The sequence below is a fragment of the Homo sapiens genome, chromosome 8 (assembly GCF_000001405.40).
Source record: "Homo sapiens chromosome 8, GRCh38.p14 Primary Assembly".
Lineage (NCBI taxonomy): Eukaryota > Metazoa > Chordata > Mammalia > Primates > Hominidae > Homo > Homo sapiens.
The window spans coordinates 133,278,877-133,302,982 of record NC_000008.11 but is presented as its reverse complement, the minus strand read 5'-3'; the positions used below and the strand labels follow the sequence as shown (position 1 = coordinate 133,302,982).

At 50.7% G+C, this 24,106-nt stretch overlaps 1 protein-coding gene across 8 annotated transcripts in view, besides 3 other annotated features; it reads left to right on the top strand.

The window, feature by feature from the left end:
- Positions 5,401 to 5,850: a silencer, noted in NCBI's record as "silent region_19562". NCBI's record gives its function as "represses an Ori minimal core promoter by ATAC-STARR-seq in GM12878 lymphoblastoid cells {active_cell/tissue: GM12878}" and the evidence as "EXISTENCE:reporter gene assay evidence [ECO:0000049][PMID:35858748]".
- The window catches only part of NDRG1 (N-myc downstream regulated 1), a 60,078-nt gene continuing 41,702 nt past the window's right edge, over positions 5,731 to 24,106 (top strand). For 3 of the 8 annotated variants that reach the window (NM_001258433.2, NM_006096.4, NM_001374844.1), the window contains exons 1-3: positions 5,731 to 5,849; positions 18,654 to 18,734; positions 22,716 to 22,751. Coding sequence is in view for 5 of the 8 variants with exons in the window: in NM_006096.4 (NP_006087.2) it covers positions 18,672 to 18,734; positions 22,716 to 22,751 (99 nt within the window). In the remaining 3 variants the exon portion in view is untranslated. Of the gene's footprint in view, positions 6,247 to 6,292; positions 6,345 to 18,653; positions 18,735 to 22,715; positions 22,752 to 24,106 lie in introns of those variants that run through there. The other 5 variants (NM_001135242.2, NM_001374845.1, NM_001374846.1 and 2 more) reach the window with 5 other exon arrangements.
- Positions 8,047 to 9,246: an enhancer, noted in NCBI's record as "P300/CBP strongly-dependent group 1 enhancer chr8:134305980-134307179 (GRCh37/hg19 assembly coordinates)". NCBI's record gives its function as "activates an origin of replication core promoter dependent on BRD2, BRD4, P300/CBP, MED14 and CDK7 cofactors, with strong dependence on P300/CBP, by STARR-seq in HCT116 cells {active_cell/tissue: HCT116}" and the evidence as "EXISTENCE:reporter gene assay evidence [ECO:0000049][PMID:35650434]".
- Positions 17,284 to 17,784: an enhancer, noted in NCBI's record as "H3K4me1 hESC enhancer chr8:134297442-134297942 (GRCh37/hg19 assembly coordinates)". NCBI's record gives its function as "activates a minimal SCP1, AML or CMV promoter by ChIP-STARR-seq in primed H9 embryonic stem cells {active_cell/tissue: H9 hESC(primed)}" and the evidence as "EXISTENCE:reporter gene assay evidence [ECO:0000049][PMID:30033119]".

The window sequence follows — 24,106 nt, the reverse complement described above, 5'->3', positions numbered from 1 at the left end:
CCTATGATTTAGATGGATCAAGATGACAATGGAACCGGCCATGTGATCAAGTGCATGGGAGGGACAGAGAACAAAAGGGGGCTGCTGTGGGATCCTACGACTGCAGTGTTGTCATGGCTGCTCTGAGCAGCCCCTTGAGTACATCTCTCAGCAAATATGGAACAAATACTTGCTAAATCCATATTAGCCATGTATGGGGTTGAACAGTTTCTCTCCAAAAATTCACGTCCATGCAAAACTTCAAAAGAGCCTGGTGTGGTGGTGCATGTCTGTAGTATCAGCTACTTGGGAGGCTGAGATTGCAAGATCTCTTGAGCCCAGGAGTTGGAGGCCAGCCTGGGTAAGATAGCAAGATTCCATCTCTAAAAAAACAAACAAACAAAAATTACCGTATTTGGAAACAGGGTGTTTGCAGAATATAATTAGGTAGGTTAAGATGAGAGGTCACAGAGAGATGAGAGAGGAAGGAATGTGCTGACAGAGGCCGAGATTGAAGTGATGCATGTATAAGCTAAGGAGCAGCAGGGACTGCCAGTAACTACCAGGAGCCAGGAAGGGGCAAGGAAGGATTTTTCCCTGAGACTTCAGAGGCAGCAGGTCCCTGTCCACATCTGGAGTTTTTATTTCTAGCCTCCAGAACGGTGGGAGAATACATGGCTGCTGTTGTAAGCCACCCAGTTTATGGTGATTTGTTATGACAGTCCTAGGAAACTCATGCAAGCCAGGAGTGAGGAGAAACTGATTTTCTAAGGGCCAAACATTGCACAACTCTTCATTTATGTTCAAAGTAAAGGATTTATTACACATCCTGAACATAGCCTACCCTTCACCCTCATTTGGAATTGTTTTCCTTTCATGGTTTTTTTTTTTTTTAATTTTCATTGCTCACAACATGATATTACAGGCCAGGCATGCTTGCAGATAACTGGGATAATTTACTTTTACTTAAGTAAAAATCCCAGATGGCAGTCCCTCCACCTGGGATCATGAAGCAGGTAGGATCCCCTTTTCCCTCCTAACAGAGTCCAAGCAGTAAGACCGAATAAGATGGGATGAATTCAAAGAGAAACATCTGCATTTGCTCAGTTCTTCAACCAATATTTACTGAACTTCTCTACGGTCAGGTGTGCAAGATGCCAGGAGGGATGAGACAAGATGATGATGATGATGATGATGATGATGATGATGGTGATGATGACAGTGAGGATGAGGGTGAACACTTTAATGAGAGCCTTCTATATGCCAGGGACTGTTCTAGGCACTTTACATATATTAACACATATATTTATCACAATGACCCTGTATTGTTATGTGTATCTTATACATGAGGAGGCAGAGGAAGGAAATGAAATAACTTGCCCAAGAGCATAGAGTCTGCAAGTGGCAAAGATAAGATAGAAATAATTCTCCAAGAGCAGAGAGTGGTGACTTCTGGGGATAGGGAAGTGGAAAAGTGGGGAGACAAAGGCTGTTGTTTTTCCTAACAAGTTTTGAAGACTTATTTGACCAGGTTCAAGAAAAACTTGATAATCACTACAAAGTAAAAGGAAGAGGAGATGAGGTGGGCCTTTGGGTACAGATGCTTGTTTTGGAAAGTTTAGGGAGGAAGGGGTGAGAGGAACTGGGCTGCAGTACAGGAATGGGGGACTTGGGAATCAGAGGGGATTGGTTAGGGTGGGTCATTGATTGCAGTGAATGTTTACTTGTTGATTGGGCTGCAGTACAGGAGTGGGGGGCTTGGAATTAAGAGGGGATTGGTTTAGGGTGGGTCATTGATTGCAGTGAATATTTACTTGTTGATTAGTTTGATCCAGAAGAAAGGGAGAGATGGATGCTGGAGGAGAGAGGGGGTCCCGAGGGAGCCCAGGACTGGAGGTGGGAAGACACTTTTACGGACACTTTTTCATTTTGACAGACAGAAAAGATGATGGTCTGCAGCAGTAGACCCATAAATTGTGATTGAAAGGTCTGATGGTTTCTCTCACTCGTTTCCTCCATGCACAGAGAGGTGGAGTAATTTGCCCCAGGTACTACAGCTCATAAGTGGTGAAGTTGGAGCTGGGGGCCACAGACCACCGGGTTCTTCTCCATGAATCCCTGCTGCATCTTGGTCTCTCCCAACCCCGAGTACCCATGAGTTTTAAGAAAGACAGTTGGGAACAGGTGATTCCTATGGTCATTTTTGGAACATTTGGTTAGAATATTCTAGTATAAAATCTAAGTTGTTGTTAAGTAGAAATTTCCAGTGGACATTAGTCCAGAAAATCCAATCTCATCCTGTGACGGATTTGCAGCGCGTGTGCATTTACTAAGCAAATCTGATTCTACTGCTGACCAGCGAGAAAGAGGAATAATGTAAACAGTCAGTGCAATTGCACCCACATTCAGCTCCGTGAGCTTCTGCCACCTCAGCTGGCTGCGGTGGGGGATGTGGAGGTGCATGCAGCTCCCAGGTCCCAGTGAGGGGCCTCTGTATAGGGTGGGCGTCCTCTATGCTTTATGTGCATCCAGGCCTGTACTAAAGACAGTCTTTCTCCTGCAGCGTGACACTTAGCTAAGAAAACTACTTCATCTGGTGCTCAGCGGAAGAAAACATCCTTTTCAACAGGGAAGGAAAATTGGCTGTGTTGGGCTGAGGGAGGGGAGTGTGGAATCCAAATGGTGTCTTCCTCAGGCCTTCTCCAAGGTGATGTGGACTCTGATTTTAGAATGCCATCACTTGGAAAATTGTGTTCCATTGCTCAAATTCTTGCCTCCCTTCTCTGCTCTTTTCTCTTCACTCCACTCTCCTTCCTCTGTCTTCTGACCTATTCAATGCTAATGGTCTTCCAGAAGGTTAGGCTTCCCACACAAGCCCAGCCTCCTGCCAGGCAACCTCCTCGGGGTTTCAAGCTGCAAATCTGGGCTGCTCTTCGCATTCTGTCCTGAGGACCTCCTCAAAGAGACAGGCAAGGGCCTCCCCTGGCAAAATGCCCTTCTAATTCCATGCACTAGTTCCATTTGTTACTGAAGAAGTGGGCCGCCTTCCCTGCGCCTTTGAACTTGACATTCCTTATCTTGACACTCCGCACTTTTGAACTTGACACTCTTGTATCTTTAGCAGGTAAAAAACCAAAGGTGCTCACTCAATAAATCGCCGCAATGGGGAGCCTATGGGAAAATGGGTATGTGTAAGCTGGCTAAAGGATAACAGGCACACAGGCTGCTTGATCTGGGAGGGTCTTTAGACAGCAGGATGGCTCCCAGAGATGCACTTTTGTTGTTGCTGTTGTTCATGATCATGTCCCCAGGGTCTAGAATGGTGCCTGGGCATAGTAGGTCCTTAATATAGTTAGGGAATGAATGAGTTCATCTCAACCACGCTGTATGGATGGAGAAACTGCGTCTTGGGGCTGTACCATGCTATGCACCTGTAGAAAATGTTTTTGCCTTTTCAGTCCTTTCCCAGTGGCGGAGTACAGGACCCAGCTCATAAGAGCAGCTCAATTCTGTCATTTGTGGAATGACAGAATAAATAAGTTTCAGGGCCTAGGGAGGCAAGGCTCCTGCCTTAGCCTCCCAAGTAGCTGGAACTACAGCTGCATGCCACTAAGCCCACCTGATTTTTTATTTTCTTGTAGAGATGATGTCTCATTATGTTGCTCAGACTTTTCTGGAACTCCTGGGCTCAAGCAATCCTCCCACCTCTGCCTCTGAAGTAGCTGGGACTACAGGTACTTGCCACCAGGCCTGGCTAGCTTTCATCTTTTTTGTAGAGATGGGACATCACTATGTTGTGAAGGCTGGTCTCAAACTCCTGGACTCAAGAGAGGCTTCTGCATTGGCCTCCCAAAGTGCTGGGATTACAGGTGTAAGCCACTCTACCTGGACACAACATTTTATTTGAAATAAGAAAAATTTTCCCTCACTGGGAATGCTGCAGTTGAACTAGTTCAAATCCATAAAGAATGGAAGACTGCCCAGTGGTCATTCATTCACTTATTAATTCTAGATGTTAAATTTTCTAGGGTGGGGGAATGTGCTCCTACATTCAAGGCATTCTTGAATGTAGCCAAACTTTGTAGTTTAGCCAAACTTCATAGCTAATAGCCAAACTTTGTAGTTTAGCCAAACTCTTCTAGCAGCAAAACCCATGACACTGGAACTCTGTTCTTCACACTGGTCATTTGTAATAGAATAACAGAGCTTTAGCACTAGATAGGTTCTGAAAGATCATTGAATCTAATCCTCTCCCTTTGCCAGTGAGAATTCTGAAGCCCAGATTTGTTGATTTGTGATCGATAGTGTCAAAGACAGGCCTGAAACACAGATGTCCTGGGTCCTAGAGGTGCTGTTTGCCCCTCTCCATATTTCTTTTGTTCCAGAAAACCCTTCTCCAAAACTGGCCCTAATAATCAGAGGGGAAAGCCATGGCCCCTGCCTTGGGGACAGCATGGGTTGGCACAGAAAAGAGGTTTACAATTCAGCAGGAAGTGTTGTGCGTGCGCGCGTGTGTGTCTGTGGAGGCGCAGGGAGGGTCACCTGAGCTTGCCCTGGGTCTGGTCCTGGGCTCAGTGGCAAATTCAACGCTGGGCAGGTGGCCTGAGGACAATGACGGTGCCAGCTGTGAGTCAGACTTCCTTTATTCATAAAATCATGTTCCTCCATGCAGTGCTTCTCAACCTGGCTGCACGTCAGGAGCCACCTGGGTAGCTTTGTAAAAACCCCAATGCCCAGTTGGTTTGCACCCCCTGAGATTCTGATTAAACTGTTCTGGAGTCCATCTCTCTCTTTTTATTATCTATCTATTTATTTATTTTTTAATTTGGCGGCTCCTCTGGGACTTCTCATATGCAGTAGGGGTTGAGAATTGCTGGTTTCTTTGGCCAGATGGGAACATGCAGGCCAATAGTTACGCACAAACAGAGCAGCAGAGCAGGACGGTGCTAAGGTTGGAAAGGGTGAGTCATGAAAGTTCAGGAAATCAGAATAGGAAGGGGTGAGAATCCTCTCATCTGGGCTTGTGGGGCAGGAGAGAAGAGCCCAGTGGGCAAGGTCCAGTGAGTGTGCTTAGAACTGGGAAGATGAGGGGAAGGGTAAGCGCTGGGCGGCGGTGGGCAAGATGGACGAGATTAAACGGGAGCGAGGATTTCAGCGAGAGCTTTGGCGACACGGAAGGCTGAGAATCGGAGGGAGCCTGTCGGGCGAAAGCGAAGGCGGCTGCTGGGCAGGCAGCCGAATCCGGCTGGAGAGCCGAGCTGGTGAGACCTACAGGAAGTGAAGGGAGTCGCTCAGGGCGTGGCGCAACGAGACTCTTAGAAGAAACTCTGAGGCAGAGATGGGGGGCCTCCGCCCATACGGAGACACAAGGAAGTCCACATGCACACGCACGAGCGCGCACATGAACACGCACAAGCACACAAACGCCTCCTCCGGGCAGGGCACACGCGCCCGCTGCACAGGCCGAGGCCCTGGACTCGGAGGGGACTGCAGAGCCGACCCACAACCCGGGCCCCGATGCCCCTCCCGGCCGCGCCCCTACGACTGCTTGCGCAACAGGCGGCGGCTCCAGTGGGCGCCCGCCGCGCGCTGCCGGAGCCCAGCCCAGCCCGGCGCGCCCGGGAGGAGGGAGCAGGGAGCGGGGAAGGGGTGTGTCCCGGCTGCGTGCTGGGACTGCGAGGGTCTGGGAGGGGCGAGGCGCGGGGGCGGGGCCGCGGCGCCTATAAAGTCGCCCTCCGCCCGGACGTAAACAAACCTCGCCTGGCTCCCAGCTGGTGCTGAAGCTCGTCAGTTCACCATCCGCCCTCGGCTTCCGCGGGGCGCTGGGCCGCCAGCCTCGGCACCGTCCTTTCCTTTCTCCCTCGCGTTAGGTAAGCCCGCGCCCTCTTCTCCCAGGCGCGACGCGGAGCAGAAAGGGGCCGCCCGTGCGGTGCCGCTGGAGCGCCAGGACCGCCCTTTGTAGCCCCGCGTACTCCAGGAGTAAGCGCCCCGGAGCTGCAAGTGCGCGGTCACCCCGGGGCGCGGGCGCGAGGGGGCTTTGGGTGCAGACACCGCTGAAGTGGGGGGTTCAATTACGGAAAGGGAGGAAAAAAAGACAGGGTCCCATTCATCTCCCCCCTAGCTGGGGATTGGGGTTCTGGAGGTCGGGAAGGGGGCGATGAGACGGTCCGAAAAAATACCAGGATAGCGTTTCCTGGCGTCGTCTCCGAATCCCAGCTGGCGCCGCTGGCAGGGGTGCGCGCTGGACGTGGGTGCAGAAGGGACTAGGTGAGTGTGTGTGTGTGTGTGTGTGTGTGTGTGTGTGTGTGTCTGTGTCTGGGAACGGAGAGATTGCGCGCGAGTGTGTAGATGAGGGGTTGGTAGAGGTGAGTGGCGCTGGCAAGGAGGCTGGAGAGGGGGGCGTGGGTGTGTCTGGCTTGCAGACTGGGTCGGGAACGGGTGTGGATCCGAGAGGCTGGTGGCGCTTCAGTCCCGTAGCACACACAGGGCGGTGTGCATGTGTGAGTGTAAGCGTGTGTGTGGGGGGAGGGTCCAGGGTGTGTCACAGTGCAACACGCGAGCCGGAGCAAGTGTCTGCGAGCGCCACTGGGCAGGGTGCGCCCCCGGAGGAACCCGGGATTGGCGCATCGGCGGCGTGGGAGAAGTGACCTGGGCGAGAGGGGTCTCGCGGACATTTGGCGGCCCCTTGAGCTGGCTGGAGCTAGGAGTGGCGTCATTTTCGCCTCCGCCCACCCTCCCCCGCTTTCCTCCCCTCCCCTGCCTCTGGTGCTGGCCGCTCCTGCCCTCCACGGGGGAAAACAGCTGGAATTACTTCGACGTTCCTGGGGGATCCGCCGCGGTCTCTGATTCAGCCTCGGGAGGAGATTTCGGGCTGGGCTTGGGGAATGCGGCTGGTTCTGGGGGAAACACGCTGTCACGCCTCTGTCAAATTAGTAGCTGGAGCTGGGATTTAGTGGGTCGGTTCCTTACCCACCCCTCCCCCATATCCCCCGCCTGTTGTCCCTGCTGTCCCTGGGGGTCCTGAACAGCACGCCTCTGTGGCTTGGAAGTGGGAGATGCCTGGCAGTGGGTGGGGGAGGCAGGGCCCTTGGTTATCTTATGCCCATCCAAGAACACCCCTTCCTCACGGACGCTGGGGGCACTTCAGTTTGTTTGGTTTCTTTAAGCTACTGGGAAATATCTAATATTCAGAAGTCAGCCAGTGGCCAGGCAGGAGGGCGGTAGACATCCTTATAATACCCATCAGCTGCACGGGACCTTCTCCTAAGCTGCCTCAAAAGAACATATCTAAATACAAACCCCCTGTTCTTGCTGCAGAAATGTAGTTTCAAGGCGAATTTTTCAGTCTAGACTCTTCCTGTTGAGAAATTCTGGCGTTCTTATTGAGTTTCACAAATGTGATTGAAATAAGCAAGGTACAGAGGGGGCAAACCCCAGCGCCTTTCTTGGAAGGGCTGCCTTCTGGTGGGGAAGACACACGGCTGGAGACGCAGACCGGTTCTGTGTGGTGTGTGTGGCGGCAGAGCCAGCCCCAGGCTGGGGTGGCACAGTGTCGGGGATGAAGGAAGGTGTAAGGGAGAGAGAGGGTTTTGGTGTGGATGGAAAACTGGGTGTTCCCCTGACCTGTGACTTCTTAGCTTTGTGGGACCGTGTCTCCCACTGCATCTGGGCAAGGAGGAGGATTTGCCTGCCCTGCCCTGTAACCTGGCCCCTGGCCCAGCGCCTGGCAGGTGGGAGGAGTTGAAATATGCACATGGGATGAAGTGGATGGCTCTGGGTCTTCTGCCCCATTCTCCTGTGAACCAGCAGGTTGAGTTTCGGGCGAGGTAATAGACTGTGCATGGGTGGAGGTGTTGGCTTTTGCTTTTGAGGGATCCTGGAGTGTCTGTTTGGGTCTCTTGTGAGGAAGTTCTTTTGGAGCAACAAAGTTTGATCATTTGGAATGGAATAAAAAACTCACACAGGACCTACCTAGTCCAACTTCTTTCCATTTTACAGATGGAAAATGAGGCACAGGGATGGGGAGGGATGTGCCCAGGCCGAACTGAGCTGGAGCTCAGCTTTGTGAGAGGCTCCTGGGTGGGACTGAAGGCAGTGGAAAGGGTTCCTGGCAGGATTTTGCCTGCCTGCTATGGAGGGGCGAAAGGAAATTGCATCTTCATTGAATTTCTGGTGAGGAAACTTTTGAGGCCAAAGGGGCAGAGCGGAATGATTTTTTTTAAGTGTAAATCAGGTGTTCTTGAGAGATTAGCAAAGCCAGCCTGAAGGGCAGGGGCTTAGAGGCTGCAGCCCCCTGAGTTGGCCTTTGACTGAATGGGGCTGCCCCCCCCCCATGACAGAAGACAGATCTCAACTGAGCTGAGGGCCCCCCTGGGTTACGTTGAAATCCGCTGGCCTGAACTTGCCTCCTCATGGACCTGAAAGAAAGATAGCATTGTGTTTTTCGGGTGGCCCAAAGCTGCAGTTCTTCCTTGGGACCCAACCCCAGAGAATCCCATTCCAGATGTGACTCAGAGGCCTTGTCCTGGGAGAGAAAGCGTGATGACTCAGCATCTGAGACTCAAGCAGGGTTCAGGTTTGACTCAGCCTGGAAGGAAGGCCAGGGAGGGACACGACATCTCTCTCCCTCCAGAGCAGCCACTGTCTCCCTCCATCTGCCTTCATCCTCGCAAGAACGTTGCCTGGATCGTATTGCTCCATTGAATGGATGAGGCAACTGAGGCCAGGAGAGTTTCAGGATTTGCCTGTTGCCATATGGCTCAGGTGGGAGAGCCAGACTTTGAACCCGGACAGTTGGACTTCAGAGCCTTTGTTTTTTTTCCATGACAACATGTTGGGGCGCCTGAAGAAATCAGGCTCAAATGAAAAGGCAGTCAGGAGCTCCATGCCTCAGTTTGCTTTTCTGTAAAATGAGAGTAACAGACATGATGCCATCAGAATGTGTAAATATTAATCTGTGTAACCTGAGAACAGCACTGAGCATGTGGAAAACAGCGTGTAGGTGTTTGCCGTCAGTAGCACCCGCAGAAGACATTCTCAAGGCATCTTCTTGGCAGGCAGAGTCTGGGACCCTTTGTCCTAAACCTACCCAAGGCTGTGAAAGTGCCTGCAAATGCTTGACCTAGGTATTGCTTTTTGCTAAGCTTATGTAGGTTGCATAATAGTGTCATGAAAATCTTGTCTGAAATGCACATTTCCAGGCCCGGTCTCCTGCGATTCTCTCTCCATCAGGGGATATGCTGTTGTTTCAAAGCTCCTTTGGCTGGGTTGGGAATGGGGTATCCTGCAGGCAGACAGAGTTGAGAACCTCTGCTCTGGAATGACAGGGGAGAGAAGAAGGAAGGTGTAGTCATACATGCCGCTGTACCTTCAGGCCACCCTGTGTCCACAGTGCCAGGGAATTAGTGAGTGCTCAGTAAATAGCTCTTGTTTGCTATAGTGCCTTGGAGGTTCAATGCATCACATCAGCTAACTGAGGTAGAAGACATTCTTTCCACCTCTCAGGTCAGAAAATTGAGGCTCAGGCTGGTGACTCTTCTGTCCAGAGTCCAGTGAGTGGGGTTCTGCCCAAGGTGAGCCTCCTGAGCCCTTTCCACCCTCCAACATTGCGCTTGGAGGCCACCCACACCCTCTGGGCCCACCTTTTGAGAAGGAGCTTGTTTCCTGGATCCACCCCAGGCTGTTGTTCCTGCCTCCCTTGATGGCTGTGTGATGGAAGTACCGCGTGTCCACTTGCTTTTTATCTTTCAACTTGGAGATAGAGGCAGGCTAGATAGCGGTCTTGGCTGAGAACTTAGCCCAGGCAGGTAGGCAGAAGGGCTGGGGACACTGAGGCCCCACAGGAAGGCGGCTGCAGAGGTAGAGGGCCATGAGTAGGTGCCAACCTGGAGCCGTGTTCTCGGGGTGGGGGCCATGTGAAAAGAAACCTGGGCTCCCTCGGGTGGGGCGTAAGCCCCAGCACTACAGAATGGGAATGGATTACACAATCGGGGCCATAAGCAGGTCTCTTTGACCCAGATCTTTGACTTTCCCACCTAACATTGTTTGCAGACCTGCCTATGCCCTACCTGCCTGGGCTCCATCTCTGACCTTTTGAGTCCAGCGGGTTTTCTTGCAACTGAGCTGGTAGAAAGTGAGGCTCCTTAACAGTCTGGGGGCCTTGAGTGCCCTCCCCAGCAGTTTAATCTTTCCTTTCTTTAAATCTGTGGGGAGACTTTCTGCAGCTATACATTTTAAATCTGCATAGAGTTCTGTTTGAAGAGAGGTGGGTGGGGGCCCAGGTCTCCACCTTGTTCTCCTGCCTTCACCCTCTGCCCCACCCCCACGGAACCTAAGAAGATTCCAAGTAACCCTCTTCAAATATGGATGTGAGAGGGCCATTTAAGAGGTGGGTCTATGGCCTCTCTCAGCTGGGAATGCTTACCATCTCTCCTTCCTCCTTTTTAATCATGGAACTCTCCTCCTTTCTCCAGAAAGGCCTCCTTGGCTGTCCTCTGCTGGAGGGGAGGCTGGGTTGGGTCCTTCCTGGGACCTGTCCATGTCTCCCATGAAACCTGAGAGCCTGTCCTTAGTAGGTGTTGTGTTAGTGGTGGTGGAAAGGACATCTCCACTGATTAAGGAAGTAACTTGGACCATCTTGCATAGACAAGATCGGAGGCCCATTCCGGAGGGTGGAAACTGCAAGACCATTCTGGGGAAGGATCCTGTTAGCGTGGCTAGCATCCCATCTCGGGACAAAGGGTTCTGTATGAGGAAGCCATTTCCTCGTCCTCTGCTAACACTGGCTCCGTTTGTGTGATTTCCACAAATTATCTCAGACCATCCAGCGCAGCTCATGCCTGTCTTGCAATTTCACAAAATAATCCTCTAAGGAGACCAGTGTCCTCCTTTGGACTTCCAGTTATTCACCTCGTCCCCTCAGACGGTCGTCTTCTGTCTGCCAAACAAATTACTCGTGCTGCCAAAACTCCACTGAGAATCTCCAGGAAGATCTCGGTTGTATTGCAGAAAAGAGGTGGGCCCTGACGAGATTCCTGACACCTCCCTCTTCCTGCTGTTGTGTTTGGGACACTCTTGCTGACCTCCCTGGTGCTGTGCTCAAGTTGAACACACAGCAGTTCAGTTTCAGCTCCAGCCCCTCTGGACCCACACCCAGGGAGTGAATGCGGCTTTGGCTTGTTTGAGAGGGAGACAGTGGGGTTCACCTTCTTAGTGATCCCTTTTTCATTCCTTGAATATCAAACATCACTGATGCCTCCTGGGTTTCAGGCTCCACTGCAAAGTACAGGGGCCCTCGAGGAGTTCCTACTGTGGTTTTGTTCTCTGACATTTGTACTGTTTCCTTGATTCTGATTGCTCTGATACAGTTCCCTAACCTCTAAACTAGGGAACTTTCTTGAAGGTCCAGTGAATCCACCCATATTGTTTGCTGAGTTGATTAGTTAAGAAAGACAGTTCGTGAAGACTGCCAACTTCCTCACCCTCCCCAGGGCCTTGAGTTTCAGAAGGGCCAGAAAACACCAAGAGAGCCCATGAACTGCTTTGTAGCTTGACTTCAAAATCTCTTTGGGCAAAGAAATGACAAAGGATTGTATCCACAGTAAGGCAGGGCTATCCAGGGCCTATCTCAAGGTGGTTTTCCTTGAGGTTCAGGCAGAAATGGTGCTGTTCTCGGCAATTTTCTGGGGAAGTTGCTACAGCAAACAGCCACAGCACATGTTGATTTTTTCCCTCCTTTTAAAAATCTGTTCTATAAAGAGCACAATGTGCTGGAGAGAACACTGGCTTTCATGTGGCCTTAAAACCAGGCATGTTACAGAGGGTGGAATCTGGGCCAGTTGCTGTTGGTGACAATCGATGCTACCCTTGTCAGCAATTCCCGCCTGCTCTCCCTTTATCTGCTTCACTGAAGGCCTCCAGGGGACTGTTGTCCGCCCTCCCCCGAGGGAATGAGTGCCACACCTGCACCCACAACAAACCAGTGAGTTTTTCACCTTTCCCTCAGTAGGGAGGAATCTAGACATGTGGCCTTTGGAAGTCAAGTGGGCCTTTGTGTTTGTTTTTGAGCCTCAGGTTACCCATTTGTGAACTGGGTATAATACCCAGCCTCTCCCGGGGCAACCTCCTTGAGGAGCAAGTGAAACAGTGTGCTGAGTGAATGCTTTTCCAAAGCATTGAGTTGGCCGTCTTAGGAAGGTACTATGGGGGAGCTGAAAACAGAGAACCTTCTGGGTGTTGTGAAGGGAGAAAAGTTCAAGATGCTGGTTTTGCCAAAAGCTCAAGCCTGCTCATGATGGCTCAGTGGTGACTGCAGGGTGGAGGAGAGGCATGTGACTGTCCCAGCTGACCTCCACACGCTGAAAGCCTCATGGTCACGTGCAGCCCACCTTACAACGTTGTATCTGGGCCACGGGTGGTGGTGAGGACTGTGGATATATTTAGGGCAATGTGAGATCATTGTCAACATTCCCTTTAAGGTTGCTTTAACCTTAAAGCAGCCAGCTTGATGCTTGCTGACTTGGGGCACACATCTTAACCTCTTGATGCCTCAGTTTCCCCGTCTGTTAAATGGTGACATGCTGGCACCTCCCTCCTAGGGTTTCTGTGAGGCTTAAAGGAAGTACCGGGTTTAGAGTCCAGTTAGTGCCACAGATACTGTTCCTGGTGCTGTTTTTGTGGTGTGTCTGTGTAGGGTTACATTGTTGCCTTCCTGTGGCTGCTCTTCCTGGTGGGCGGAACCTGGAACTTCTAGAACAGATCATGGATGTTTCTCTGCTGGATACCCCTTCAGCCTCACCCTGTGGGAGTTGTGGCGGGGCCCAGGAGAGTTTGCTCAAGAGGGTGTGCAGGTGGGTGGCAGAGCTGGAGCAAGGCACTAGTCTTAACAGACAGGAGTCTGAGGCTGGCAGAAGTGGGGGCCTTGGTCCAAGGTGCGGGGCTAATCTGGCCAGAGCTGAGCCTGGCAGGGCCTTGGTAAGACCCTGTGGCCCTTTTGTCTTGGTGAAGCACCTTCCTGCCTGGGTTTCCATTTGCCTGTAAGTTTGTTGTGGACAGCGTGATCTCCATAGACGTACACTGTGCCTACTTTACAGATGGAGAAACCAAGGCCCAGAGAGGAAGTGACTTGCTCAGAGTCATGGAATAGGAAAGTGGCAGGGTCCCCATGCCCTGATTCCTAGGCCAGCGTTCCTGCTGCCCCACTGAGGTTTTTGGGAATCACAGGCTCTGTGTGTCCCCCTCAGTCCCCCAGGGGCTGTTGAACAGTTCTCAAGTGGTGTCGGATTACTGAAGATGCCTCTGCCCACTGCCCTCCCAGGTCCCAGGGTCACGGGTCACGTTCTTTTCTTCCTCGGGCAGATCCTGGCCTTGGCTTTGCCTGGCACCTGTGATCCAGCTCTCCTCTGACTCTCCTGGGTCTGCTGGACTGGAAGGGTATTTGTGTAGCCCCTCTTGGGCCCTCATTACTCATTGACAGACAGTGCTGGTGGAGAGAAGGGCCCCAGTGGTGACGCACTGGGCCTGATAATCAGAAACCTTGGTGGCATTTGCTGAGCATTTTCCATGTGTCCCTCTCCTCGCTGGGACTCTAGGACTGAAACCCAGGCCACATCCTCACAGATGTCCTGGCATCTCCAAGGCAACCCTGAAAGGAAAGTATGTTGATGAATTAAGCAACTGTTTGCTTAATTCTCCATGCCATTCTTGAATTTAAGCCCCACTGCTGATCATTGGGAGCAGGAGTTAGCATGCCCATTGACAGACAAGCAAACTGAGGCAAAGAGGTTAGATAGCCAGGCATGGTGGCATATGCCTGTAATCTCAGCTACTCAGGAGGCCGGAGTAGGAGGATCACTTGAACCCAGGAGTTTGAGACCAGTCTGGGCAACATAGCAAGACCCTGTCTCTCTAAAAAACAAGATGAATAATACATTTTTAAAAAGAGATTCGATAAATTATGCAGGATCACAGAGCTAATAAATGGTGACACCATGGCCTGCAAGCCTTCCCCCAGCTCCTGGCTACCTTTCGCTTCTCTGGCATTGGTCTTCTCGGAATTCCTCCCAGGCAGGTGGATGGGAAAAGAAGTGAAGATACAGGCTGGCAGCTGGTGCTGTGACCTGGAGCCCTGTTTTTGGTGCTAAGCTGGGTTTTAGCTGAAGGAGACCTGCTGGAGGGGTTTCTTCTGTGCTTCTTGGGGAGCAAAGATGGCCTTGGAGATGGAGACACGGTTTGTCAGTCCCAAGCCACTCCAAAGGTGGGGCTGGTGGGCTAGGAGTCAGCCCTGGTTCCCCCGCCATGCTGTGTGTGGCCCTGCCTTGCCACCCCACCTGCTGGAGGACCTCTTTGATGCTTTCTAGTGGGTCCCAACATTCTGTGATTAGGACTTTGCATGAGGCAGAGGGAGGGCAGGAGCTGGAGTCCAGCAAGGACCTCAAGCCCAGGGACAGGCTCCACCTGCCACACTTGCTAAGCCGTGAGGGCCTCAGGTGCCCGGGAGGAGGGAGCAGGAGTGGAAGCACCAGCTCGAGCCGCCAAACCAGGTCACGTATCACCTGCCATTTCCTGCTGGCAGAAGGAGATCACAGACACCAGAAGACAGCAGCTTCTGCCAGAACTGGGTCCTTCCATGATTCTCAGGTGGTGACTTTGAATCCCAGAAAAAGTGTTTTGGGGAGAGTGGAGTGAAGGAAGAGTGTGAACATTGGATCTGACTCCACTCCAGCCCCTGTGCTGCAGCCAGCAGGGTGAGCTCAGGACAGCTGGCAGCCGCTTGGGCCCAGCCCCCTCCTCCGTGAATGAAGGTGGTGGGGAGTGCACGTGTGCGTGTGAGTGCGTGTGAGTATAAATGACTGTGGATGTGAGAGTCCATGAAAGTGAGAATGTATCAGTGTGTAAGAAAGTGTGAGTATGTGAGAATGAGTGTGTTTGTGAGAATGTATGTATGTGTGAGTATAAGTGTGTGAATGTGAGAATGTCTGAGTGTGAGAATGAAAGTTTGCAAGTGTGTCAGTGTGAGGGAATGTGTGAGTGCATTTGAGAGTGTGTGTGTGTGTGTGTGCGTGTGTGCACGCATGCACTAGATTAAATAAGAATGCATCCAACTGACATTTTCTGGATACTGTTACCTACTAGGAATTACTAAAATCAGCTATTCCAGAGGAGGGTGGATGTCGCACCAGGGGACATTTGGCAACGTTTGCAGATTCTTTTGCTGGTCGCAGCGTGGGGTGTATGCTGTGGGCATGTGGTGGGCAGAGGCCAGGGATGCTGCTGAGCCTCCTCCCGTGCTCAGGGCAGCCCCTAAGGCAGAGGCTGCTTGTGGGGCCCAAATGTCAGCAGTGCTGAGCTGAGGATCTCTGTCCAGGAGGCACAGACGCTGTCCTGGATGCTGTCCAGACAGCATCTGCTCTGCCCTCCAGGGGGACAGACAGACAGTGGACACAGCCCAGATGCAGCCTGATGAGTGAGCCCAAGGGAGTGCCTGTCCCCTCGGGACTGTGAGCTCCGTGGGGGCAGGAACTGGGTCTGTTTGCTCATGATCCCCAGATGAGTCCCATAGCCAGTCTCATCACCATAGCTGGTGTTATTTTTGTTCTGAGCTCTGTGTTGGGCACATAGAACCTAGTGGGTAGAAACCTCTGAATAAATCCTGAGTTTTCCATCCTGCTTCCGTGAACTCAGATGTTCTTTGAGGGCCAGCCTGGTGGCGTGGGGGCTGGGAGTGGGCAGATTGTAGGGAGCCAAGTCCTGGGGTGGAGTGGGGTTCAGGCCCCTTTCCCTGGCTTGAGCCGAAGCACCTTGGCTTTTTAAATTTTAAAATTTTTATTTTTTAACATTTTTATATGTTGAACTTCCTTACATGATTTCCTTTGGATAAAAGCTCCTGCAAAAAAAGTTTGAAAAGTTTTTTGGTTGAGGCATCAGGGACAAGGTAAGGGCTGCTTGATGGGCCCAACTCGGGAGAACTGAGGTGAGGGAGCCGCTCTCCTCCCACCCTACAGGCTGGCCAGATGGTGGACCGCCAGCAGCTGGCTGGGTCAACCTGCAGAGAGCACCTTCTGCAGTCCTTGGTTCATGCGGCCTTAGTATTGCAGGACGCGACCAACATGCAGGCTACCCCGAGGCCTGCAGCCCCCACAGTCCCCCCAGACTAGTGCAAAGCTTTATCCAGTCTCCCGGCAGACTTCAGAGTCTAGGACACTTCCTAAATGGTTCAAAATCAATGGAATCATTTGGGGGACAATAAATAATGTCACTAGACATTGCCAAATGTCCCCTGGGAGAGAAAATCCCCCCTAGTTTAGATATACCCCGTGATCATCCTCAGCAGTTTTATCTCTGGACTTCCCAAAGGCCTTTAGCAGTGAGGGGGCTGGGTCAGAGAAGGCCCCACCAGCTCCCAAAAGCAGATGCTCAAGAACTTGATATTTCTAGGACACACAGCGATTTTTTTAACCCATTGCCTCATGTGGTCTGGGAAGCTAAGCTGTAGGAATAAAAAAGGTGCCGGGTAGGGTAAAGAGGTTTCACCAGATAGAGGAAACGGGGAAGGTGGACATTTCTGTCTTTTCTGTTCTGGAGAACGAGAGAGCTGGTGGAGACTGACAGACACTATGTCCTAATGTGATCACGGTTTCTGGAAGCCAAAGAGAACTGACCAAACTGGGCTGAACCACAGCATTTCTCGAGTCCTTTTAAATGTAGAATTTGTTTTCCAGACATTGCACTCTTGGGGTTTAGCAATGATTTAAAAGTGAATTTTACTGAAAGCATGCTGTTGAGCTACATTGCTCATTTATTCAGAGAGGGAGTTGCAGCCTGACTTTCTGCCTAGGAGAGTCTCTCGTGCTGGGAGCTAGAGGTAGAGAAAAGAACAAGCTACCTGCTTGATGAAGCTCACAGATAGGACTGCTTGAACCCACCTGGTGGGACAGTGAGAGCCCCCTGACTTCACCCTGGCGCGCTTTGCTGAGCAGGGTATGCTAAGAAGCTCCTGTGAAATGAGAAGTCCTTTCACTCCCAGAATGAGGGGTGGCGTTGGCAGGGCCCTGGGTTTCTGGAAGGCTCCCTAGGCCATGTAGGCGAGGTGTCCCACAGGCCAGGGTCTTGGGACCACGAACCTGCTGAATTAGCAAGGCTAACAGACGCGGGCCTTTCATGCCTCCTGCCTCCAAGCTGGCAGCTGCCCAGGAATGCTCACAAATATAAAACCGACTTTGTTTTCAGAATGTTCTGGAGCATAGACTCCAAAGTCTGTATAAAGCCATTCTTGTGGGGCTGGTTATCTACTGGGGAAAATCATGCTGGGGCCCCAGACCAGAGCACCCCAGTGGAGAGCAGGATCTGCCCACGGAATGCCATGTGTTGGCACAAGGGATGGACCCGGGGTGGATTCGGGGTGGCCCGCACTTGCCGGCTGACCTCTAAGAGGTGTTTCACCAGGTTCTTGGGAGTTCCTGGGTCTTCAGAGGAGCCCTAGGCAGGAATTTCAGAGGCTTGCATTCTCTCGACCATTGCATCCGAGGGGCCTTGGGCAGTGCGGGGCCCAGGTTCCCACTCTGAAGCTGGCTGTGTGAGGGCTTTGGTCAGGCGTTTTCCATTCAGAAAGTCTGGATCTGTGAACTGGGTGGGTGGCCTGGGCTCTTCCCTCTTGTCACTTACTTCTTCTCCGCCGGTCCTCTGCTGCTGTCTGTAAGACTTGACCTTATTCTGCATTTTTTATGCTTCACCCCAGGGATTGATGGGCATTTAGTTTTTCTAACTTGACTACTGATCTAGAAGAATACATGCTTATACTTCTGGTTTCTAGATTCAGCTCTTGGAGGCATGCTTAATAGATAGCACCACCTGCCCAAGCCTTGCACCCCAGGGAGTCAGTGGCAGCATTCCAAGTCTTCCTGGGCTGTGCTTCAGTCTGGTTTTGCAGCCCACACTTCTGCACCTGCCCTGTGTTAGAGCACAGGTAACCCCTCTGGTCCATCCCCTGCTTTGATCCAGGAAGTGCTTTCTGCCTTGGAGGTCTTTTTTCTTACAAAATTGTACTGTGCGTTCAAATGCCTGCCAAACTCCTTGACTTAAGGTTTTCCTCTGCCCCTCTTCCCTTTTAGCAGGCAGCCGAGAGTCCTGCACCGTGGGGTGTGTATGTGTGTTCACGCGCATGCGTGTGCCTGTGTGTCTGTGCGTCTGCATCACCAACCTTCTGTTAGGGCTAACTGTGAGGCTGAAGCTTGCACTATGCCTATACGTGGTAAGCATCGTGTGAGCTTGTGTTCCCCTTTCATTGTCACACGGGGGCTGCCTGACTTTGGGATCAGCAATGCAGGTCCCCTTCTAGAATGCAGTGAGCTGCATCCTGGGTATGGTGGGTGGGCCTGAACTTGGTATGGGGACCTGTTTGTGAGGCTGATCTATCCATTTCATTGGGAGGGTGGTGTCTGTGAGCCTCAGTATCCTCTCCCAGGAAATCCACTGCGCTGGCCCCAATGGGAAGACTGGGTTGGGTCCATGGGCTGTGTGTACAAGGGACCTCCTCATCCCCTGCAGTGCATCACGAGGGAGGTGAAGCTGCTGGGCAGAGCGCAGGCCTGGCCTTCTTGCCATTGGTCTTGGATTTGCTTCCTTTAGGAAACCTCTCAGCAGGAAGTGTTGACCTTTTGGCCTTTGTCTCCTTGCAGGCAGGTGACAGCAGGGACATGTCTCGGGAGATGCAGGATGTAGACCTCGCTGAGGTGAAGCCTTTGGTGGAGAAAGGGGAGGTGAGTGGAGATCTTCCTGGCTACCCCATCACAGGCACATGTGCACATAGACACACACAGGCACACCGGAGCTCACACTTGTACTTATGGGCATGCAAACACTGCACAAATACACATGTATACAGCATACACACGGCATACAAACATGCTGCACACACATGTACATAGCATACAGACACACATGCGTACACACATAACACATTTGTCCACTGCTTCCTTGAAATGCAAAGTTGTGAGAGGCTCTGGTTCAAGTCCCATAGGATCGAGGGCTGGGCCCCTTGCCCACTTCTCTGGGCCTTTCTGCTCTCATTTGTAAAGTGAAGACATCGAACCAGAGGTTCTCTCAGCTTTCCCGTCTCTAACATTCTGTGGTTATAGAACATGCAACATGGGGCCCAGTTGCCCATAGGGACTGCCTGCCTCAGCTCTCATTAAAGCCACATACTCTGGGGCCGCACTGTCTGGGCTTAAATCCCAGCTGTGACACTTTGCAGCTTGGTGTCCACTTGCTAACCTCTCAGTATCTTCATATTCTAGTTCTTCATCTGTAAAATGGTGACATTAGGACTTACCTCATGGGGCCAAGTGAGGATGGAGTGACCTAATTCATAGGGAACAGTTAGAACTTTGCCATAGAGGAGATGGGCAATGCATAGTCACTTTTTCACTTGCTATTATTATCTTTTTGGGCAAACCTCTTCTGTCAACAGAGCTCTTCCTGTTGGAAACAGAAGCCCCTGTCTATAGGCTGGGCTGGCAGGGCCCAGCCTGGGCTGATTGTTCTGAAGATGAATGAACCTTTACATTTGCACAGTTGACACCGTAGCTTCAAAGCATGTTTACATCCCAATTCTCACTTAGCCTCATAACTGCCTCTGATATGTCTTTTTAAAAATGTGGAAGCTTTGGTCCAAAAGTGAAGTTAGTCTAAAGCCAACTAAATGCTTTTAAAAGTGATAATTACCATGCACTAACCACATCCTGCATGCCTGCTTCTCCGCCGACCGTATTTCAACTTTGGTTCATGCAGGTCCCAGGTTCTGTGATCGTACTCATTTTGTAGAGGAGGAAGTTGGGTCTTAGGGAGGTTAATTTGTCTTCTTTGCATAGTTACAAAGTGTGGGACATGGAATCAAACCCAGGCCAGCGGACGTTGGTGAATAGACTGTTCATTTAATTTCCTTATGACTCTACATGTGGCTGCTCTGTTTTAGGTTCATAATTTCATAGACTTTTCTTTACAAATGTGTGAGGCAACCATCTCTTTTCCCCTTTTGCAGATTTAAAAATAAAAACAAACTGGTCCTAGACAGGAAGGGGATTGGTCAAGTTCATCCAGATAGCTGGTACAACTAGAGTTAGAAACCAAGCCTGGGGAGGCTACAGATGCTTGCTTATCATTCCACACTAAGGTCTGCAAACCTTTTCTGCAAAGGGTCAAATAGTAAATATCTTAGGCATTGAAGGCCACATGACCTCTGTTGCAACTGCTCAACTTTGCCATTATAGCAAGAAAGCAACCATAGACAGTATACAAGTGAATGTACTTAATGTGTTCCAACAAAAATTTAAAATGTGGTGAGGCGGATTGCAGTGTGCCAACCCCTACTGTATACTATGCAATTTCTAAATCTGTGTCCTCTAAACTCTGGGTCTGTGACATAGTCTTCTGAAATAGTCAAACAGAAACTTCTAGATAGAACAAATACATATCACCATATTCTTATTTCTCCCTTTTAAAAAACCCTGTGAAAATAGTATCCCACACTTTGCTTTATTCACTTGACATTTCTGGGAGATCTTTTCAACATCAGTCCATAATCCACTTGCTTTTCTCTTTTTAGGTACATAGTATTCCACTACATGTATTTGCCCAGTGCCCAGTATATGAACACATGTGTCTTTCCAGCCTTTTGCTATTACAGACAGCACTGCAAGAAATTTGCACCCTTGTATCTTTCATGTGTGTCATTACATACATGTGCAGGTACAGCCCTAGAAAAAAGTTCTCAGAAGTGGCATCGCTGGGTCCAAGGGTAAATGCATTTAAAACAACATTTTTTATTTATTTCGGGCAGCCTACTGGAATCCTTAGAACATTTTATGTATGAAACACATGTCTAAGAGCTTGCCCATTCAGGGTTACATGCCAGTGCATCTCTCAGTGAATATTTACCCTTTCTTTCAAGGTTTAGACGGAAATAAATTTCTTTCAATTCCTTAGATTGACTCAGCAAAGTATTTAGAGTTAGGCTTGACTATTGGGAAGTTCTTCCTTGTGTCTGTCCTCAATCTAGATTGCCACTATACTCTGATGACGTTTTGAAGGTTGGTGTTTGCTGTACAGAATGGCTTTCCCCATTCTTTCCCACCAGTACACACTCACATGCACATATACACACACAGGGCAATGGTATAGGTGCCAGCCACGTTTGTTTCCACTTGAATTTACCCAAAGTCCCTGATGTTCTTGCCCACAGCTCAGGGGATGTGGGGCTATTTGAATCCCCAGCACGAGGGCCTGTGTTGTCATCTAGTCTTCCAATCCCTGCCATCTAATGGGAGCTCCATTCCATCATCCTGTTCCCCTCATCGCTTTTGCATTTCGCTCTGCTGAGCCGTCTTGTTTTCTGGGGGTTTGTGGTGGGTGAGGCTGGGGCTCAGTTTTCACAGTGTTGGGACTCCATCTCTGGGTCAGTAGGAAAACATGCCAGCAACATCTCTTAGAAATGTTGGCCAGCCAAGACTCCAGTTGGTCCTCCGAGTCACACTTTCACCAGGCCAGAGGGGACACAAGACTTTTCTCTGTCTTCCTGGGCCTGTCCTGCCATGGACAGCTCTGGTAAAAGATAGAATTTGGGCTGAAACTCAGATTTTTTTTTTTTTTTTTTGAGACGGAGTTTCACTCTTGTTGCCCAGGCTGGAGTGCCATGGTGTGATCTAGGCTCACTGCAACCTCTGTCTCCTGGGTTCAAGGAATTCTCCTGCCTTAGCCTCCCGAGTAGCTGGGATTACAGGCATGCGCCATCATGCCTGGCTAATTTTGTATTTTTAGTAGAGACGGGGTTTCTCCATGCTGGTCAAGCTGGTCTTGAACTCCTGACCTCAGGTGATCCCGCCTGCCTCAGCCTCCCAAAGTGCTGAGATTACAGGCGTGAGCCACAGCACCCAGCCTGAAACTCAGAATTTTTAGATTGAGGGAAATGCTTAGAGGTCTCCACTGCCTCTTCTACTCACAAGAGACTGAAATTTAATCCAGGTCCAGATGACAGCAGCCATGGAAAAAATGTAAGGAGGACCATGATGTGGTCAGGTTTGAGTTTTAAAAGTATAGCACATGGGTGGAGCCGGGGAGACCAGTTAATAGTCAGATATCACATTTCTGTATCTCTCAAGCTTGTGATCAGCTTAGACCTTCAGCTTTTTATCTATCAAGGCTATTGTCAGAAAGGAGTCCAGTTAATGTGTCTGCTTTTCTGCTGGACTTCTATTTTGAGATGAAAAGGAAAGTCTCGGCTGGGCACAGTGGCTCACACCTGTAATCCCCAGCACTTTGGGAGGCCGAGGCAGGTGGATCATGAGGTCAGGAAATCGAGACCATCCTGGCTAACATGGTGAAATCCCGTCTCTACTAAAAATACAAAAAATAAAAATAAAAATAACTGGGCGTGGTGGCGGGCACCTGTAGTCCCAGCTACTCAGGAGGCTGAGGCAGGAGAATGGCGTGACCCTGGGAGGCGGAGCTTGCAGTGAGCTGCGATCACACCACTGTACTCTAACCTGGGCGACAGAGCAAGACTCCGTCTCAAAAAAAAAAAAAAAAGAGAAAAGGAAAGCCTGCCTTTGTGAGGAATTAAGGAGACCCCACAAAGGAGGAAGTGTAGGTACAGATTCAGGTCATAGAAAGGCCCATATGTCCCAATATTATTTCTCTTACAGAGAAAACAGATGAAATTGACAATTTTTTTTGTCTTTTCACAGACCATCACCGGCCTCCTGCAAGAGTTTGATGTCCAGGCAAGTAGAGGATGTGGCTTTCCTTCCCCTTCCTCATCCCGTCTTCTCTTTTTCCTTTTTCTTTCCATTGGTTTAAGTAGATCATTGTGCAAACATTGCGGGCAAGGGGAGAGAAGGCAGTGGTCTCAGCTAGGTCCTCACCCTCAGCTGCTGCTCCCAGACAGAAGCTGACTTGAGTGCTGGCCAAAGAATCAGGAACCAGTCACTTCCCACGAAAGCAGGACAGAGACACCGCCTGTTTCAGTCCCAAAGAGCTGGCCAGAACGGTGGGGCGTGTGTGGGGAAAATGGTGTGATGCTGGGCTGGCTTGGGACCCTGTGAGGGGAGGGAACGGAAGCAAAAGCTTGATGTTCTTGGCTCCACTTGGGAAACTGAAACCAGCCTTCTCTGTGGTTTACTGGCCCAGAACTGAAGTATCTCCATTCCCACTCAGGATTGCAGGGTGGGCCAGGGGGTGCACCTCAGCTGTGTCCAAGAATAGGCTCTCAGGAGAACGGGCTGGGCTCTCTCAGCCGAGGGCTGGGTCAGAACTTCAGGAAATCTAAGTCCTGGACTCGTTAGCCCCAAGCTGGGGTGGGTCCCATGCTGTGCTGGCCTCTGGAGGGTGGGGCAGAAAGCCTGAGCATATGGCGAGCTTGTGGTCTCCTTGAAGGAGGAGAGGCGCACTCCTGGACCAGCCAGAGAGCCAGAGGTGGCTGAGGTGTTCTCACCTGAACCGCTACCCATGTGTTGCACAGGTGTCCCCAGTTTGGGACCCATTCTGCACTCTGCATCTCACTCCTCTATTCTACCTCCTTACCTCAAAACAACTCCGCTTTTCCTCTTGAATCTCTGATTTCATGAATGCTCCCCCATCCATCCCGAGGCGAGGAATCTTGCACTGTCTTTGGAAGGAAAGGAAAGGATGGGAGAGGGGCTGGAAGCATTGGCTAGTAGATGATCGAGGCTTTCTATACCACCACCAAGGTGTGTATTTTCTCATCATCCTGGTTGTGTCAGGCTGTCCCTAGAGATCACCCTGACCTCAGTGTTTAAGAAGAAGGGCCAGATGCAGTGGCTCATGCCTGTAATCCTAGCACTTTGGAAGGCCGAGGCAGGCAGATCACCTGAGGTCAGGAGCTCGAGGCCAGCCTGGCCAACAAGGAGAAACCCTGTCTCTACTAAAAATACAAAAATTAGCCAGGCATGGTGGTAAGCACCTATAACCCCAGCTACTTGGGGGCTGAGACAGGAGAATTGCTTGAACCTGGGAGGCAGAGGTTGCAGTGAGCTGAGACCACGTCGTTGCACTCCAGCCTGGGCAACAAGAGTGAAACTCTGTCTCAAAAAAAAAAAAAAAAAAAAGAAGAAGAGAG